The sequence below is a fragment of the Homo sapiens genome, chromosome 6 (assembly GCF_000001405.40).
Source record: "Homo sapiens chromosome 6, GRCh38.p14 Primary Assembly".
In the NCBI taxonomy this organism is placed as follows: domain Eukaryota; kingdom Metazoa; phylum Chordata; class Mammalia; order Primates; family Hominidae; genus Homo; species Homo sapiens.
The window spans coordinates 85,849,169-85,869,872 of NC_000006.12; the positions used below are offsets into that span (position 1 = coordinate 85,849,169).

At 41.7% G+C, this 20,704-nt stretch overlaps 1 pseudogene, besides 1 other annotated feature; it reads left to right on the forward strand.

Moving 5' to 3' along the window:
• Nucleotides 13,364-13,864: an enhancer, noted in NCBI's record as "H3K4me1 hESC enhancer chr6:86572250-86572750 (GRCh37/hg19 assembly coordinates)". NCBI's record gives its function as "activates a minimal SCP1, AML or CMV promoter by ChIP-STARR-seq in primed H9 embryonic stem cells {active_cell/tissue: H9 hESC(primed)}" and the evidence as "EXISTENCE:reporter gene assay evidence [ECO:0000049][PMID:30033119]".
• On the forward strand, nucleotides 19,776-20,331 carry LOC100133102 (Rac family small GTPase 2 pseudogene; annotated as a pseudogene).

Genomic DNA, 20,704 nt, shown 5'->3' on the forward strand with positions numbered 1-20,704 from the left:
TTTTTCTCAGGTTTGTCAAAGATCAGATGGTTGTAAATATGTGGCATTCTTTCTGAGGTCTCTGTTCTGTTCCATTGATCTATATCTCTGTTTTCGTACCAGTATCATGTTGTTTTGATTACTGTAGCCTTGTAGTATAGTTTGAAATCTGGTATTGTGGTGCCTCCAGCTTTGTTCTTTTGGCTTAGAATTGACTTGGCAATGCGGGCTCTTTTTTGGTTCCATATGAACTTTAAAGTAGTTTTTTCCAATTCTGTGAAGAAAGTCATCAGTAGCTTGATGGGGATGGCATTGAATCTGTGAATTACCTTGAGCAGTATGGCCATTTTCACGATATTGATTCTTCCTACCCATGAGCATGGAATGTTCTTCCATTTGTTTGTATCCTCTTTTATTTCATTGAGCAGTGGTTTGTAATTCTCCTTGAAGAGGTCCTTCACATCCCTTGTAAGTTGGATTCCTAGGTATTTTATTCTCTTTGAAGCAATTGTGAATGGGAGTTCACTCATGATTTTGCTCTCTGTTTGTCTGTTATTGGTGTGTAAGAATGCTTGTGATTTTTGTACATTGATTTTGTATCCTGAGACTTTGCTGAAGTTGCTTATCAGCTTAAGGATATTTTGGGCTGAGAAGATGGGGTTTTCTAGATATACAATCATGTCATCTGTAAACAGGGACAATTTGACTTCCTCTTTTCCTAATTGAATACCTTTATTTCCTTCTCCTGCCTGATTGCCCTGGCCAGAACTTCCTATGTTGAATAGGAGTGGTGAGAGAGGGCATCCCTGCCTTGTGCCAGTTTTCAAAGGGAATGCTTCCAGTTTTTGCCCATTCAGTATGATATTGGCTGTGGGGTTGTCATAGATAGCTCTTATTATTTTGAGATGCATCCCATCAATACCTAATTTATTAAGAGTTTTTAGCATGAAGAGTTGTTGAGTTTTTGTCGAAGGCCTTTTCTTCATCTGTTGAGATAATCATGTGGTTTTTATCTTTGGTTCTGTTTCTATGCTGGATTACGTTTATTGATTTTCGTATGTTGAACCATCCTTGCATCCCAGGGATGAAGCCCACTTGATCATGGTGGATAAGCTTTTTGATGTGCTGCTGGATTTGGTTTGCCAGTATTTTACTGAGGTTTTTTGCATCAATGTTCATCAAGGATATTGGTCTAAAATTCTCTTTTTTTGTTGTTTCTGTGCCAGGCTTTGGTATCAGGATGATGCTGGCCTCATAAAATGAGTTACGGAGGATTCCCTCTTTTTCTATTGATTGGAATAGTTTCAGAAGGAGTGGTACCAGCTCCTCCTTGTACCTCTTGTAGAATTCGGCTGTGAATCCATTTGGTCCTGGACTTTTTTTGGTTGGTAAGCTATTAATTATTGCTTCAATTTCAGAGCCTGTTATTGGTCTATTCAGAGATTCAACTTCCTGGTTTAGTCTTGGGAGGTTGTATGTGTTGAGGAATCTATCCATTTCTTCTAGATTTTCTAGTTTATTTGCATAGAGGTGTTTGTAGTGTTCTCTGATGGTAGTTTGTATTTCTGGGGGATTGGTGGTGATATCTTCTTTATCATATTTTATTGCATCTATTTGATTCTCTTGTCTTTTATTCTTTATTAGTCTTGCTAGTGGTCTATCAATTTTATTGATCATTTTAAAAAACCAGCTCCTGGATTCATTGATTTTTTGAAGGTTTTTTTGTGTCTCTATTTCCTTCAGTTCTGCTCTGATCTTGGTTATTTCTTGCCTTCTGCTAGCTTTGGAATGTGCTTACTCTTGCTTCTCTAGTTCTTTTAATTGTGATGTTAGGGTGTCAATTTTGGATCTTTCCTGCTTTCTCTTGTGGGCATTTAGTGCTATAAATTTCCCTCTACACACTGCTTTGAATGTGTCCCAGAGATTCTGGTATGTTGTGTCTTTGTTCTCATTGGTTTCAAAGAACGTCTTTATTTCTGCCTTCATTTTGTTATGTACCCAGTAGTCATTCAGGAGCAGGTTGTTGACTTTCCATTAGTTGAGTGGTTTTGAGTGAGTTTCTTGATCCTGAATTCTAGTTTGATTGCTCTGTGATCTGAGAGACAGTTTGTTATAATTTCTGTTCTTTTACATTTGCTGAAGAGTGCTTTACTTCCAACTATGTGGTCAATTTTGGAATAAGTGTGGTGTGGTGCTGAGAAGAATGTATATTCTGTTGATTTGGGGTGGAGAGTTCTGTAGATGTCTATTAGGTCTGCTTGGTGCAGATCTGAATTCAATTCCTGGATATCCTTGCTAACTTTCTGTCTCGTTGATCTGTCTAATGTTGATAGTGGGGTTTTAAAGTGTCCCATTATTATTGTGTGGGAGTCTAAGTCTCTTTGTAGGTCTCTAAGGACTTGCTTTATGAATCTGGTTGCTCCTGTATTGTGTGCATATATATTTAGGATAGTTAACTCTTCTTGTTGAATTGATCCCTTTACCATTATGTAATGGCCTTCTTTGTCTCTTTTGATCTTTGTTGGTTTAAAGTCTTTTTTATCTGAGACTGAGATTGCAACCCTCCCTTTTCTTTGTTTTCCATTTGTAGATCTTCCTCCATCCCTTTATTTTGAGCCTATGTGTGTCTCTGCACGTGAGATGGGTTTCCTGAATACAGCACACTGATGGGTCTTGACTCTTTATCCAATTTGCCATTCTGTGTCTTTTAATTGGAGCATTTAGTCCATTTACATTTAAGGTTAATATTGTTATATGTGAATTTGACCTGTCATTATGATGCTAGCTGGTTATTTTGCCTGTTAGTTGATGCAGTTTCTTCATAGTGTCGGTGGTGTTTACAATTTGGCATGTTTTTGCAGGGGCTAGTACTGGTTTTTCTTTTCCACATTAGTGCTTCCTTCAGGAGCTCTTGTATGGCAGGGATGCTTATGACAAAATCTCTCAGCATTTGCTTCTCTGTAAAGGATTTCATTTCTCCTTTTCTTATGAAGTTTAGTTTGTCTGGATATGAAATTCTGGGTTGAAAATTCTTTTCTTTAAGGTTGTTGAATATTGGCCCCCACTGTGTTCTGGCTTGCAGCATTTCTGCAGAGATCCCCCTTTGTTTGATGGGCTTCCCTTTGTGGGTAACTCGACCTTTCTCTCTGGCTGCCCTTAACATTATTTTCTTCATTTCAACCTTGGTGAATCTGATAATTATGTGTCTTGGGTTTGCTCGCTTGAGGAGTATCTTTGTAGTGCTCTCTGTATTTCCTGAATTTGAATGTTGGCCTTTCTTACTAGGTTGGGGAAGTTCTCCTGGATAACATCTTGAAGAGTGTTTTCCAACTTGGTTTTCTTCTGTCTGTCACTTTCAGGTACACCAATCAAATGTAGGTTTGGTCTTGTCACATCATTCCATATTTCTTGGAGGCTTTGTTCGTTCCTTTTTATTCTTTTTTCCCTAATCTTGTCTTCACACTTTATTTCATTAAGTTGGTCTTCAATCTCTGATATCTTTTTTTTTTTTGCTGGATTGATTCAGCTATTGATACTTGTGTATGCTTCACGAAGTTCTCATGCTGTGTTTTTCATTTCCATGGGGTCATTTATGTTCTTCTCTAAACTGGGTGTTATAGTTAGCAATTCCTGTCACTTTTTTTCAAGGTTCTTAGCTTCCTTGCATTGGCTTAGAACATGTTTCTTTAACTCGGAGGAATTTGTTATTTTCCACCTTCTGAAGCCTACATATTTCAATTTATCAAACTCGTTCTCTGTCCAGTTTTGTTTCCTTTCTGGTGAGGAGTTGTGATCCTTTGGAAGAGAAGAGGAAATCTGATTTTTGAAAATTTCCGTCCTTTTGCGTTGGTTTTTCCTCATCTTCATGCATTTATCTACCTTTGGTCTTTGATGTTGCTGACTTTTGGATGGGGTTTCTGTGTGGATATCCTCTTTGTTGATGTTGATGCTATACCTTTCTGTTTTTTGGTTTTCTTCTAACAGTCAGACCCCTGTGTTGCATATCTGCTGTAGGTTGCTGGAGGTCCATTCCAGATTCTGTTTTCCTGGGTATCACCAGCAGAGGCGGCAGAATAGCAAAGCTTTCTGCCTGTTTCTTCCTCTGAAAGCTTTGTGCCCAGAGGGGCAATTGCCAGATGCCAGCTGGAGCTCTCCTGTATGAGGTGCCTGTCGACCCCTGCTTGGAGGTGTCTCCCAGTCAGGAGGCAGATGGGTCAGGGACCTACTTGAGGAGGCAGTCTGTCCCTTAGCAGAGCTCAAGGACTGTGCTAGGAGCTCTGCTGTTCTCTTCAGAGCCAGCGGGCAGGGATGTTTAAGTCTGCTGAAACTGTGCCCACATCCACCCCTTCCCCAAGCTGCTCATTCCCAGAGAGTTGGGAGTTTGATCTATAAGCCTTTGACTGGGGCTGCCACCTTTTTTTTCAGAGATGCTCTTCCCAGAGAGGAGCAATCTAGAGAAGCAGTCTGGCTACAGCAACTTTGCCAAGCTGTGGTGGGCTCTGCCCAGTTTGAACTTTCGGGAGTCTTTGTTTATAATGGGAGAGGAAGAAATGCCTACTGAAGCCTCATTAATGGTGGATGCCCCTTCCCCCACCAAGCTTGAGTATCCCAGTTCGACTTCACTGACAGACTGCTGTGCTGTCAGTGAGAATTTCAAGCCAGTGGATCTTATGTTGGTAGGCTCCATGAGGCTGGGATCCACTTAGCTAGACCACTTGGCTCTCTGGCTTCAGCCTCCTTTGCAGGGGAGTGAACAGTTCTGTCTCACTAGTGTTCCAAGTGCTACTGGGATATGAGAAAAAAATAAACAAACTCCTGCAGCTAGCTTGGTGTCTGTCCAAATGGCCACCCAATTTTGTACTTGAAACCCTGGGCCCTGGTGGCATAGGCACCCAAGGGAATCTTCTGGTCTACGGGTTGCAAAGATCATGGGAAAATTGTAGTATCTGGGCCAGAGTGCACCGTTCCTCGTGGTACAGTCCCTGACAGCTCCCCTTGGCTAAGGGAGGGAGTTCCCCAACCACTTGTGCTTCCTGGGTGAGGTGACAACCCACCCTGTTTCTGCTCACCCTCCGTGGGCTGCACCCATTGTCTAACCAGTCGCAATGAGATGAGCTGGATTTCTCCGTTGGAAATGCAGAAGTCACCCACCTTCTGCATTGATCTCACTGGGAGCTGCAGACTGGAGCTGTTCCTAGTTGGCCATCTTGCCAGCCACCTTTGTTTCCAAGTTTTTGTTGTGGTAAAATATGTATTACACAGTATGTATTTTGTTAATCATTTTAAGTGTACATTCGGTGGTATTAAGTACATTCATATTTTTGTACAACCTTCATCACCATGATCCATTTCCAGAATGCTTTTCATCTTACAAAACTAAAACAATACATTTATTTAACAATAACTCCCCATTTACCCTTCCCCCAGGTCATGGCTGTTGTGGTAAACTGAGGAATAGAGAGACCAATACAGAGTATAGGAGGATTTGTTTATTTTAGGTATGCATCAGCTCAGAGGATTCACATCCAAAAGCTGATCCCTGAACAAAGACAGAGTGGGGTTTTTATAAGCGGCCTTACAGAAGCAAAATAAAAGCAGTAGCAAAATAAAAGCAGTTAATCATACAGTAATAGGTCACATAATCTATAGCATAACATTAACTTGTGACCTAGACTGTGGCCTTGTAGCTGCATTAAAAGAAAAACAAGAACTGGCTAAATACAGACATTTGTAAAACATAATCATGCTAATCATGCTTAAGAAGCCTGGGAAAAGAGTAACAGTAAAAGAACCTGTCTTTCTCTTTATTTTCTTTCAACCTTGCTCTGGAAGGGAGGAGTGTGTCTGGAGCCTACTTTTTTGGCCTTGGCTATTTGGACTGCATTATCTTCTAACTGTCCTTGAAGTGAGCTGCTAGGCAGAGAAAAACTTGTTCTTTTCTTTTTAACCTTTGCTTTGCCACATTCTGGGCCTTAGCTTTTACTTTTCTTGGAGTGAATAAATGCAGTACTTATTATTATTTTAAATATCTGCCTCAGTTTCCCCTCTTTGGTGCCTTTTATAAAAGAAGTTTAATAGGAGGTATCACTATTACTTAGTTCTGCCTGAAGAGACAAGTTTTCTTCTTTAGACAAAGGTTGATATTTAAGCAGAGCCATTAGCTGAGTGGTAGTTTGCCTAGCTACTATTGTCTCTATAGTTGATTGAATGCTTCTAACAAAGAGAAGGAAGAGACAAGGGAGTATTAGGCAACTTCCTAGTATGGCCAGAACCACTCCTATTAAAGTCTTGGACCTTCTGAAAAATGAAAACTGGCCTACAAAGAGAGAATCTGGGGACCACATTTTCCAGGTTTGAACTGGAACATGGGCTAATTTTCTCATTCTTGCAGTTATTTACATAATTGCTTTTCCATTGTCATTGATTTCCAGACAACAATTAGTTAGATTGAACTTTCCACATACTCCTCCTTCCTGGGCTAGGATGTAGTCTATAAAGCTAATCTGTTCTGATAGATAGTGTTTCTCATTTTTGTGGTTTGCTGGGCCAGTAAATCTAATGCATTTGCTGCTTCATTAGTGATTATTTCAAGTACTGCCTGCAACCTTATGACGTGGTGAAGCATGTAAATAGGAGTGCGGTATCCCTATGATCCATCTTGTGCCCAGGTAGCTGGCCCATAGTATTGAATTATTTTTTCAGGGGGCTCATCTGTGTCTTTTTAATATCCTATTTTTATATCTCTCTTTATGTCTGCATCTCTTTTGTTTCTTCTTCTAAGTTCATCATACACAGGATCCCCTAAAGTTTTTCTCTATTGCAGTGGGAGTAGGAATAAAGATGGTCTAATTGTTCTAAGCACACAGGCCCCTGCCCATTTAACTGGCAACTGTTGATATGCCCATAGCCCACAGATCCAATAAAGACTGGGGGTTGCTTGCCAAGTATTTGGAGATTCAAGTTGATACCAAGTGTGGTTTAGAGAAGAGAAACGGGAGAACAGATTTGGATAAGGTGCTCTGTAGTCATCTGTGCCCTGCCACAAAGTTTTCCTTAATGTTTCATTGTAATATTGCCATCCTAAGCAGGTTATTTCTCCTACTGGGTCTGTAAAAGCCTTTCCTCAGCGAGCAACAAAGTATCTTCTAATAATAGAAGTTTTTAAGAGCCAGACGCTTGAACTTGTGGGCATCTGTTTGGGGAAAGAGTCACTCAGAGTAAAGTTATCTTGAGGCATTAACTTTTTTGCTTCCCAAGGCCATTGGTCTCCTATGTTAGTCCTTCCACAAACATAACATGAGCAAATGCCTAGGCTGCTGACAATGTTTTCAACCAGCTGAATAAATAGGTTTTTGGCTAAAGGAGGAGGCTCTGGTAACTTCTGGTTTATATGCTCAAAGAATGACTTAAAGACCCATAATTGTTGCTGGGCTGACTGGTTGGTTTGAGTCCTGTTTAGAATATATAGTTATTTTAGCTTTTTGACCATAGCTTTGTAATGCCATGAAGTAACCTGTAGTCCATATAGGTACATCTGGCTTTAAGATAGTAAGATTTACAGGATTGCAAGTGCTTGTCTTACAATTCGGTTTTGCTGCTACTCTGATGAGCAAGATTGGCTTGGCCTTGGTGATGATGTGTCAGTGAACTGCGTTGTGCAGTTCGGGTAAGCTATTGCTAGGGCCTTGGAAGGATAAACAGGGGGTGCACATACAATTTTGTACTGGCAATTTGTATAATACCTTGTAGGACCAGAGATTGTGAGATGCGTTTGGTTCATGGATGTTAACTGACAAATATCAAAGTATATGGATATAGCTCCCCACTCTGGAAAGAGAGGCTTGGGTTTGACTTACAAGACTTCCTTCTTTTGACTTGGTATGAATCTCAAATTAAGTCCCAGGTAAAGACTTAGGGTCATAACATATATAAGGCTGGCCATTTCCTGGGTCACAAATTGAATAGGTGGTCTGATTATAAGTACAAGCTCCTAAGTGAGTCCTTGTACACTCATAATAAGTATAGTACAATAGGGTTCTAGTTATATTGTTCCCTGACCAAGTAGTATGTTACAGTGGGGACACCCTTCTTTTTTTTTTCTTTTTTCCTCTTTTTCTTTTTTTTATTTAATGGTTTTATATTACTATTATTATTATTATACTTTAAGTTTTAGGATACATGTGCACAATGTGCAGGTTAGTTACATATGTATACATGTGTCATGCTGGTGTGCTGCACCCATTAACTCGTCATTTAGCATTAGGTATATCTCCTAAAGCTATCCCTCACCCCTCCCCCCACCCCACAACAGTCCCCAGAGTGTGATGTTCCCCTTCCTGTGTCCATGTGTTCTCATTGTTCAATTCCCACCTATGAGTGAGAATATACGGTGTTTGGTTTTTTGTTCTTGCGATAGTTTACTGAGAATGATGATTTCCAATTTCATCCATGTCCCTACAAAGGACATGAACTCATTATTTTTTATGGCTGCATAGTATTCCATGGTGTATATGTGCCACATTTTCTTAATCCAGTCTATCATTGATGGACTTTTGGGTTGGTTCCAAGTATTTGCTATTGTGAATAGTGCCACAATAAACATACATGTGCATGTGTCTTTATAGCAGCATGATTTATAGTCCTTTGGGTATATACCCAGTAATGGGATGGCTGGGTCAAATGGTATTTCTAGTTCTAGATCCTTGAGCAATCACCACACTGACTTCCACAATGGTTGAACTAGTTTACAGTCCCACCAACAGTGTAAAAGTGTTCCTATTTCTCCATATCCTCTCCAGCACCTGTTGTTTCCTGACTTTTTAATGATTGCCATTGTAACTGGTGTGAGATGGTATCTCATTGTGGCTTTGATTTGCATTTCTCTGATGGCCAGTGATGGTGAGCATTTTTTCATGTGTCTTTTGGCTGCATAAATGTCTTCTTTTGAGAAGTGTCTGTTCATGTCCTTCACCTACTTTTTGATGGGGTTGTTTGTTTTTTTCTTGTAAATTTGTTGGAGTTCATTGTAGATTCTGGATATTAGCCCTTTGTCAGATGAGTAGGTTGCAAAAATTTTCTCCCATTTTGTAGGTTTCCTGTTGACTCTGATGGTAGTTTCTTTTGCTGTGCAGAAGCTCTTTAGTTTAATGAGATCCCATTTGTCAATTTTGGCTTTTGTTGCCATTGCTTTTGGTGTTTTAGACATGAAGTCCTTGCCCATGCCTATGTCCTGAATGGTAATGCCTAGGTTTTCTTCTAGGGTTTTTATGGTTTTAGGTCTAATGTTTAAGTGTTTAATCCATCTTGAATTAATTTTTGTATAAGGTGTAAGGAAGGGATCCAGTTTCAGCTTTCTACGTATGGCTAGCCAGTTTTCCCAGCACCATTTATTAAATAGGGAATCCTTTCCCGATTGCTTGTTTTTCTCAGGTTTGTCAAAGATCAGATAGTTGTAGACATGCAGCATTATTTCTGAGGTCTCTGTTCTGTTCCATTGATCTATAGCTCTGTTTTGGTACCAGTACCATGCTGTTTTGGTTACTGTAGTCTTGTAGTATAGTTCGAAGTCAGGTAGCATGATGCCTCCAGCTTTTTTCTTTTGGCTTAGGAGTGACTTGGTGATGCGGGCTCTTTTTTGGTTCCATATGAACTTTTAAGTAGTTTTTTCCAATTCTGTGAAGAAAGTCATTGGTAGCTTGATGGGGATGGCATTGAATCTGTAAAGTACCTTGGGCAGTATGGCCATTTTCACGATATTGATTCTTCCTACCCATGAGCATGGAATGTTCTTCCATTTGTTTGTCTCCTCTTTTATTTCATTGAGCAGTAGTCTGTAGTTCTCCTTGGAGAGGTCCTTCACATCCCTTGTAAGTTGGATTCCTAGGTATTTTATTTTCTTTGAAGCAATTGTGAATGGAATTTCACTCATGATTTGGCTCTTTGTTTGTCTGTTATTGGTGTATAAGAATGCTTGTGATTTTTGTACATTGATTTTGTATCCTGAGACTTTGCTGAAGTTGCTTAGCAGCTTAAGGAGATTTTGGGCTGAGACAATGGGGTTTTCTAGATATACAATCATGTCATCTGCAAACAGGGACAATTTGACTTCCCCTTTTCCTAATTGAATACCCTTTATTTCCTTCTCCTGCCTAATTGCCCTGGCCAGAACTTCCAACACTATGTTGAATAGGAGTGGTGAGAGAGGGCATCCCTGCCTTGTGCCAGTTTTCAAAGGGAATGCTTCCAGTTTTTGCCCATTCAGTATGACATTGGCTGTGGGTTTGTCATAGATAGCTCTTATTATTTTCAGATATGTTCCATCAATGCTTAGTTTATTGAGAGTCTTTAGCATGAAGGGTTGCTGAATTTTGTCAAAGGCCTTTTCTTCTTCTATTGAGATAATCATGTGGTTTTCATCTTTGGTTCTGTTTATATGCTGGATTACATTTGTTGATTTGCCTATATTGAACCAGCCTTGCATCCCAGGGATGAAGCCCACTTGATCATGGTGGATAAGCTTTTTGATGTGCTGCTAGATTTGGTTTGCCAGTATTTTATTGAGGATTTTTGCATCAATGTTCATCAAGGATATTGGTCTAAAATTCCCTTTTTTGGTTGTGTCTCTGCCAGGCTTTGGTATCAGGATGATGCTGGCCTCATAAAATGAGTTAGGGAGGATTCCCTCTTTTTCTATTCAGTGGAATAGTTTCAGAAGGAATGGTACCAGTTCCTCCTTGTACCTCTCGTAGAATTCGGCTGTGAATCCATCTGGTCCTGGATTCTTTTTGGTTGGTAAGCTATTGATTATTGCCACAATTTCAGATCCCATTATTGGTCTTTTCAGAGATTCAACTTCTTCCTGATTTAGTCTTGGGAGGTTGTATGTGTCGAGGAATTTATCCATTTCTTCTAGATTTTCTAGTTTATTTGAGTAGAGGTCTTTATATTATTCTCTGATGGTAGTTTGTATTTCTGGGGGATTGGTGGTGATATCCCCTTTATCATTTTTTATTGCGTGTATTTGATTCTTCTCTCTTTTCTTCTTTATTTGTCTTGCTAGCAGTCTATCAATTTTGTTGATACTTTCACAAAACCAGCTGCTGGATTCATTAATTTTTTGAAGAGTTTTTTTGTGTTTCTATGTCCTTCAGTTCTGCTCTGATTTTAGTTATTTCTTGCCTTCTGCTAGCTTCGGATTGTGTTTGCTCTTGCTTTTCTAGTTCTTTTAATTGTGATGTTAGGGTGTCAATTTTGGATCTTTCCTGCTTTCTCTTGTGGGCATTTAGTGCTATAAATTTCCCTCTACACACTGCTTTGAATGTGTCCCAGAGATTCTGGTATGTTGTGTCTTTGTTCTCGTTGGTTTCAAAGAACATCTGTATTTTTGCCTTCATTTCGTTATATACCCAGTAGTCATTCAGGTGCAGGTTGTTCAGTTTCCATGTAGTTGAGCGGTTTTGAGTGAGTTTCTTAATCCTGAGTTCTAGTTTGATTGCACTGTGGTCTGAGAGACGGTTTGTTATAATTTCTGATCTTTTACATTTGCTGAGGAGTGCTTTACTTCCAACTATGTGGTCAATTTTGGAATAGGTGTGATGTGGTGCTGAAAAAAATGTATATTCTGTTGATTTGGGGTGGAGAGTTCTGTTGATGTCTATTAGGTCTGCTTGGTGCAGAGCTGCATTGAATTCCTGGGTATCCTTGTTAACTTTCTGTCTCGTTGTTCTGTCTAATGCTGACAGTGGGGTGTTAAAGTCTCCCAATATTATTGTGTGGGAGTCTAAGTCTCTTTGTAGGTCACTCAGGACTTGCTTTATGAATCTGGGTGCTCCTGTATTGGCTGCATATATATTTAGGATAGTTAGCTCTTCTTGTTGAATTGATCCCTTTACCATTATGTAATGGCCTTCTTTGTCTCTTTTGATCTTTGTTGGTTTAAAGTCTGTTTTATCCGAGAGTAGGATTGCAACCCCTGCCTTTTTTTGTTTTCGATTTGCTTGGTAGATCTGCCTCCATACTTTTATTTTGAGCCTATGTGTGTCTCTGCATGTGAGATGGGTTTCCTGAATACAGCACACTGATGGGTCTTGATTCTTTATCCAATTTGCCATTCTGTGTCTTTTAATTGGAGCCTTTAGTCCATTTACATTTAAAGTTAATATTGTTATGTATGAATTTGATCCTGTCATTATGATGTTAGCTGGTTATTTTGCTCAATAATTGATGCAGTTTCTTCCTAGCCTCGCTGGTCTTTACAATTTGCTATGATTTTCCAGTGGCTGGTGCTGGTTGTTCCTTTCCATGTTTAGTGCTTCCTTCAGGAGCTCTTTTAGGGCAGGCCTGGTTGTGACAAAATCTCTCAGCATTTGCTTGTCTGTAAAGTATTTTATTTCTCTTTCACTTATGAAGCTGAGTTTGGCTGGATATGACATTCTGGGTTGAAAATTCTTTTGATTAAGAATGTTGAATATTGGCCCCCACTCTCTTCTGGTTTGTAGAGTTTCTGCCGAGAGATCCGCTCTTAGTCTGATGGATTTCCCTTTGTGGGTAACCCGACCTTTCTCTCTGGCTGCCCTTAATATTTTTTCCTTCATTTCAACTTTGGTGAATCTGACAATTATGTGTCTTGGTGTTGCTCTTTTCGAGGAGTATCTTTGTGGCGTTCTCCGTATTTCCTGAATCTAAACGTTGGCCTGCCTTGCTAGATTGGGGAAGTTCTCCTGGATAATATCCTGCAGAGTGTTTTCCAACTTGGTTCCATTCTCCCTGTCACTTTCAGGTACACCAGTCAGACGTAGATTTGGTCTTTTCACGTAGTCCCCTATTTCTTGGAGGCTTTGTTCATTTTTTTAATTCTTTTTTCTCTAAACTTCCCTTCTCACTTCATTTCATCTTCCATCACTGATATGCTTTCTTCCAGTTGATCGCATTGGCTCCTGAGGCTTCAGCATTCTTCACGTAGTTCTCGAGCCTTGGCTTTCAGCTCCATCAGCTCCTTTAAGTCCTTCTCTGTATTGGTTATTGTAGTTATAAGTTCTTCTAAATTTTTTCAATGTTTTCAACTTCTTTGCCTTTGGTTTGAATTTCCTCTTGTAGCTGAGAGTAGTTTGATTGTCTGAAGCCTTCTTCTCTCAACTCGTCAAAGTCATTCTCCATCCAGCTTTGTTCCGTTGCTGGTGAGGAGCTTCGTTCCTTTGGAGGAGGAGAGGCACTCTGCTTTTTAGAGTTTCCAGTTTTTCTGCTCTGTTTTTTCCCCATCTTTGTGGTTTTGTCTAGTTTTGGTCTTTGATGATGGTGATGTGCAGATGGGTTTTTAGTGTGGATGTCCTTTCTGTTTCTTATTTTTCCTTCTAACAGACAGGACCCCCAGCTGCAGGTCTGTTGGCGTTTTCTAGAGGTCCACTCTAGACCCTGTTTGCCTGGGTACCAGCAGAGGTGGCTGCAGAACAGCAGATTTTCGTGAACCGAGAATGCTGCTGTTTGATTGTTCCTCTGGAAATTTTGTCTCGGAGGAGTACCCGGCCGTGTGAGGTGTCAGTCTGCCCCTACTGGGGGGTGCCTCCCATTTAGGCTGCTCGGGGGTCAGGGGTCAGGGACCCACTTAAGGAGGCAGTCTGCCCATTCTCAGATCTCCAGCTGCGTGCTGGGAAAACCACTGCTCTGTTCAAAGCTGTCAGACAGGGACATTTAAGTCTGCGGCGGTTACTGCTGTCTTTTTGTTTGTGCCCTGCCCCCAGAGGTGCAGCCTACAGATGCAGGCAGGCCTCCTTGAGCTGTGGTGGGCTCCACCCAGTTCGAGCTTCCCAGCTGCTTTGTTTACCTAAGCAAGCCTGGGCAATGGCGGGCACCTCTCCCCCGGCCTCACTGCCACCTTGCAGTTTGATCTCAGACTGCTGTGCTAGCAATCAGCGAGACTCTGTGGGCATAGGACCCTCTAAGCCAGTTGCGGGATATAATCTCCTGGTGCGCCGTTTTATAAGCCCATCGGAAAAGGGCAGTATTGGGGTGGGAGTGACCTGATTTTCCAGGTGCTGTCTGTCACCCCTTTCTTTGACTAGGAAAGGGAACTCCCTGACCCCTTGCACTTCCCGAGTGAGGCAATGCCTCGCCCTCCTTCAGCTCGCACGTGCTGCACTGCACCCACTGTCCTGCGCCCACTGTCTGGCACTCCCTAGTGAGATGAACCCAGTACTTCAGATGGAAATGCAGAACTCACCCGTTTTCTGCATCGCTCATGCTGGGAGCTGTAGACTGGAGCTGTTCCTATTCGACCATCTTGGCTCCATCCCCCTGATTCTGTTGGGGACACCCTTCTGTAGGTGTTTCTTCTAGCATGGTTAAGTGGGGTGACAATGACAAAACAATGTACACTATATTCATATCCAGCAAGGACAAAAGAGGTCCTTACCTGGGATAAAGGTTGAGCATAGTGACAGAACATTAGTAAAACAGTTAGTATACGGGAATACCACTAGTCCTAAGAAGATTTCTAACTACATTACTTGCTTGATGAGTCCTTAAGCTTCGGCTGTGCATAGACTAGTCAGCTTCTGGTGTGTGTCTACAACAGAGCTTGTTGTTTCCTTAAGTTTCAGCTGTGTATAGACTGGTCAGCCTCCGGAGTGACCAGAGCAGGGCTTTCACCCTCAGCAGCAGCTTGGTCTCATCTCAGGATCAGCCAGGTTGGGTGATCTGGGTCCTGCTAGCTGGTTCACTTGTCCTGAGCTGCTGGTTTTAGCTGACTGTGGTGGATCCAAGACACAACACCTGCAACTTTAACAGCAGTGGGAGTGGGGAGTGGACAAGGTTAAAATATAGGGCCCATCCTATGTGGATTGTAGAGAAATTAGATTCTACTTTTTAACCTGAACAGAGTCACCAGATTTAAAGGGATGTGAGGCTTACACGCATTTTCATGTACCTAATTATGAACACTTTGTATGGTTATTCCTAAAGCCTGCATTTGCTTTCTTAAGGCTAATTTCCCTAGTTCCTGGGGGTCACCTTTAATTTGAGCTATGATTTGGGGGTGGCTGACCAAACAAAATCTTATAGAGCAAATACCCAGTTTATTTGGTGGGGGTGCACCTGACTCGGAGGAGGACCATAGGCAAAAACCTGATGCTATCTCTAATGAATTTCCTGGCAATATTTCTTCAGTAGCTGCTTGAGTGTCCAGTTCATACGTTCTACCTTTTCCTGAACTTTGCAGCTGATACGCTGTATGTAACTTTCATTTTATTTTTAACAGTCTTGTTAAATTTTGCACTATTTCAGCTACAAATGCTGGCCCATTGTCTGAATATAAAGTTAGAGGCAGTCCAAACCTGGGGATAATGTTTTTTAACCGTACTTTAGTCACTTCTTGTACTTTTTCTGTCCTGGTGGGGAAAGCTTCAACCTGCCCTGAAAAGGTGCAATCAAGCACTAGCATGTACCAGTAGCTGGCACGGGGCAGTTCTGTAAAGTCTATAAGCAAGTTTTCACAAGGCATGGCTCCTCCTCCTGTTCAGTTTCCCAGAGGAGGGGTTCTTTTTCTCCTCTTTTGTAACTCCATCTAGTGGCTTAGCCATCAGTGAGAAACTGGAATCCAGATATAGCAGAATCCTGCTGCTTTTAACTTCTAATGTGACTGTGGGCTCCTGAAAGCCTAATGAGAAGGTGCTCGGTCTGTCCAAGTCCTTACATCCTTCAGCTTCTGCCAGCCTGATCAGATCAGTATTTGGTTTCTCCAAGGTGTGGCAGCCCTTGGCCAATGGCCTCTTTGTCTCGTGGCCTTGGCCATTTCCCTCATTGCCTTCTGAACATTCATCCTTCCAGTGTCCTTTCTTTTTTCATCTCACACATTAATCTCTTTCTAGCCTTGTCCTGCTCTTGAATCCTTGCCTAACTTGACTTCTTCCACCTCTATGTCTGTGTCCACTGTGTTCTTTCACATTGCTAATCTCTCTTTCTATAATAGCTGTTGCCAACAATTGACCTTTTTCTTAAGCCTTCAATTTACTTTCCTTTTTCCTTCCTGAGTTCTCCTGCTCCTGCAGCCAGCCAGTGGGGCTGGGCATTGGCACGGGCCCTGCCCCTGCACACTGCCATCTGTCTCTCCTGTTTCTTTCTGATTTCCCTTTTACTTTCTTCTTTCCTTTCTCACACTTACTCTTACTTTCTCCTTTCCTTCTTCCTTGCTCTTCTCCTGGCGTCGGTTCCCAGGCCCCTCTTTTTCCAGATAAAGCTGGGCTGGGGAGAGGGACTTAACCCTTGGCATGCCTAGCTGCTGTGCTTGTTGCTTTTGCTCTTTCCCATTTTGTTCCCTGGTCACAGTTAACATACACCTTTGTGGCCACTTTTATAGACTGGGTGGTATTCATGCCTGCAACTTCTGCTTGATGTCACCCTGGGCTTGCCCTACAAATGAAGTATTTACCATATGCTGATGTTCAGCAGAGTTAAATGGGGTGTAAAGCCAGAATGCTTCACAGAATACCTCATAAAACTGACTTAGGCTCTCGTCAGCTCCCTGAAGCACTTCTGAAATCTTCCTTATATTAATTGCTTTCCTTCTACCAACTCTTAGCCCCTGCAGAAGTGCCTCTAGCTAACTCTGCAAATGCTGGAGCTGAGTTGCATCCTCTGGGTCCCAGGTGGGATCCTGGTCATCATAACAGATAAGTCCTTGCATCTTCCTGAGAGGCATTTGCATAGCTTGAGCACAGCCAGATCTGAGACGGCCCACTTGACTCTCTTGACTTCTTTCCGTGGCCTCTCGGGGCTCTGATCCTCCCTTTCGAGGTGAGATCTGGGGGGTGTTAGCTCCTGAATCTGTTTCCTGGGGGGCTGTTGGTCTTGGTAAAAGGGGGGTAGGCTGGGACGTATGGAGAAAGAATTTCTGTTACCTCTGGAGGCTCCTGTAAAACTGGCTTCTCTTGCTCTCTCTAGGATTCTCCCTTTAACTCTGTGTCTGCTGGCAAAGCTGCTCTTACTTTCACTTTTGGCTTTTTTGCTATAAGCCATTAAACAGGGCTGGATCTATGCCAGTTTTGTCTGTATTGTATTTAACCATGAGTCAACATAAAGGAATTTATCTGGGTACACTGGCTGTCCTCTGACCCCTGCCACCACCTTAAATACATGGCCAATTGTTCCTTGTCTATAGTTCCTTCGGTCGGCCATCCAACACCAAAAGTGGGCCATTCTAATTCACAGAGAGTTCTCAACCTCTTAGGGGTTAACTTAACTGTATAATCCCCTGCAAAACCTTTCTTAAGGTTCCGTAACATGCACTCTAGTAGAGTAAGTTTTGATGTTTTGATGACTTTCCTCCCATTCCTCCTTTTACGACACAGCACATTCACTCTTGCACACTCACCCTCTCGTTTTGGCCGGTTACACCGTCTCCTATTATGGGATTTTTCAGATGCTGCTTGACTTTGGAGAGGTTCTTATTCCTACTACAACTCTGACCTGTAGGGCAGCTCCTATTAGCTGTATGCAGATTTCCACTAGTCTTAGTCAGCCCCACACTTTCTTGGAGCACACAGTCCACATTAAGATCTGTGACTCCCCACTTTGCAGCTGATGAGCCTAATTAGGTCCCTGCATTCACACACTTTCACACACTTTTAGTTCTCATGTTTGCAATCGGGGTGGTGAGCCACTCTTGCCCCCTCTAGTTTTGCAGTTGGGGTGGCAAGCCACTCTTGCCACCTCCAGTTCCCAGTTGGGGTGGAGAGCCACTCTTGCCACCTCTAGTTCCCAGTTGGGGTGGCACGCCACTCTCACCACCTCCAGATTACTAGCTGACTTAGTGAGCCACTCTCGTGTCCTGTGTCGGTGGGGTGTGAGTTTCATCTGAATTGGTGAGTCACTCTCATCACCCCCAGCCCCTGTGGGTCAAACTATTCAGCACACCCCAGGAGGTGATCAGGCTCCCCTTCTGTCCAAGGGATGGGTCCTGCCTTAGGCCTCCAAAACCTTACCGCAGTTCCTGAAGCACGCTGTTTTTGAATTCATCCTGTAGTCTCTCTTTAGGTTCCATGGTGCTGCTGGGTAGGGGCACTGGGTCAGGGGAGAGCTGATCTCCCTTCTGGGCTGAAGTCCTCCCGGTGGTGCCTGGGGTCACAGGTTTCCTGAGGCCCGTGCTCCAACCCCAGAGGCAAAGGAGACAGTAAGCCTGCTGTCTCCATTCACTTCGTGGTCACCAAAAATGTTGTAAACTGAGGAATGGTGAGACCAATACCGAGTACAGGAGGATTTGTTTATTTTAGGCACACACTGGCTCAGAGGATTCACGTCCAAAAGCTGATCCCTGAACAAAGACAGAGTGGGGTTTTTATAAGCAGCCTTACAGAAGCAAAATAAAAGCAGTAGCAAAATAAAAGCAGTTAATCATACAGTAATAGGTCACATAATCTATAGCATAACATTAACTTGTGACCTAGCCTGTGGCCTTGTAGCTGCATTAAAAGAAAAACAAGAGCTGGCTAAATACAGATATTTGTAAAACCTAATCATGCTATTCATGCTTAAGAAGCCTGGAAAAAGAGTACCATAAAAGAACCTTTCTCTTTATTTTCTTTCAGCCTTGCTCTGGAAGGGAGGGGGTGTGTCTGCAGCCTATTTTTTTGGCCTTGGCTATTCCAACAGAGTTATCATCTAACTGTCCTTGAAATGAGCTGCTAGGTGAAGGAAAACTTGTTCTTTTTTTTTAACCTTTGCCTTGCCACATTCTGGGCCTTAGCTTTTACTTTTCTTGGAGTGAATAAATGCAGTACTTATTATTATTATTATTTTAAATTTCTGCCTCATGGCAACTACTATTTTTTCTGTATCTATGAATTTGACTACTCTAGACACCTCCTATAAGGGGAATCATAAAGTATTTGTCTCTTTGTATCTGGCTTATTTCACATAGCATAATGTCCTCAAGGTGCATCCAAGTTGTAGCATGTATTAGCATTTACCTCCTTGAGGCTGAATAATATTCAATTGTATGCATGTACCACATTTTGCTTATCCATTTAGTACTCAATAAACACTTGGGTCATTTCTATGTTTTAGCTATTTAGAATAATGCTGCTATTAACATGGGGGTACAAATATCTCTCAAAGTCCCTGCTTTCATTTTTTTGAGTATATAGCCAGAAATGGATTCACTGGATTACATGGTAACTCTGTTTTTGATTTTTCAAAGTTATTGCCATGCTGTTTTCCACAGTGGCTGTACTATTTTACTTTCTGAGCAGCAGCGCACAAGGGTTTCAACTTTTCCACTTCCTTACTAATATTTGTTATTTTCTTTTTCTTTTTAATATTAACAACCCTAATGGAAGTGAAGTGTTATCTTGCAGTTTTGACTTGCATTTCCCTAATGATTAATGACGTTGAATATCTTTGCTATTTGTGTGTCTCCTTTGGAGAAATGTCCATGCAAATCCTTTGTCTATTTTTGAATAAGGTTATTTGTTTTCTTTTATTGCTGTTGAGTTTTAGGAGTTCTCTATATATTCTGGATATTAATCTCATATTAGATACACGAGTTGCAAATATTTCCTCTCATTGTGTACATTGCCCTTTTACTTTGTTAATATAGTCTTTTGATTTAAAGACATTTAAAATTATTCTTGGGCAGTTTCCCTCAGCTTTGTCTGACGGAAGCTGCTGGGCTTCTGCTTCCAGCTGGTGGAGGGTGAGGCATTGCCAATAGTGGCCAGGCATCCAGTGCTGGTAGCCTGCATCTGTGCCCCACCCGCAGCACCCTGAGCCCACTATTTCTGCCGTAGGCAGCCCAACCAGCGGCCGAGATGTAGGCCATCAAGTATGTGGTGGTGGGAGATGGAGCTGTAGGGAAAACTTACCAACTCATCAGTGATCAGCTATACAACCTGGAGAATATATCCCTATTGTCTTTGACAATCACTATGCCAGTGTTATGTTAAATGGGAAACCGGTGAATCTGGGTGTATGAGATACAAGTGGACAAGAAGATTACACAGGTGGACAGATTATGACCCCCACCCCCGTTCCTATCCACAAACAGATGAATTCTTAATTTGCTTTTCCCTTGTGAGTCCTGCGTCATTAGAAAATGTCCATGCCAAGTGGTGTCCTGAAGTGCAGCACCATTGTCACAACACTCCCATCATCCTTGTGGGAACTAAACTTGATCTTAGTGAGAGAAATACAAGACTGAAACACTGAAGAAGAAGAAGCAGACTTCCATCACCTAACGGCAGGGTTTAGGTACTGTAAAATACCTGGAGTGTTCAACCAGGCCTCAAAATAGTGTTTGACGAAGCTATGCAAGCCGTTTTCTCCTGACCTCCCTTGAAGTAGAGGAAGAGAAAATGCCTGCTCTTGTCGATATCCGAGCCCCTTGTTCTTGGTCCTGTCACTGGAACTTTTGTTAAAAAACAGCAAAACAAAACAAAATAAAAAACAAAACAAAACAACAACTAAAAACCCCAAAGCACAAAAAAACCTGTGGAGCCTTTGCACCCAGTACCGAGTTTTTGTTACAAATCATTTTTTCCATAAAAGCATTTTGAATCAATCAATAATTTTAAGGGTTTTCTTGTTGTAAATGTGGAGTTTAGATTCACATTCTATTAAAATGTAGTCCTAAAATTGAAAAAAAAGTTCAAGAGTTTTGCCTATTTTTTCTTTAGTTTCCTGTGCTTTTGGTGTCATATCCAAGAAATTGTTGCCAAATCCAATGCCATGAAGCTTTTGT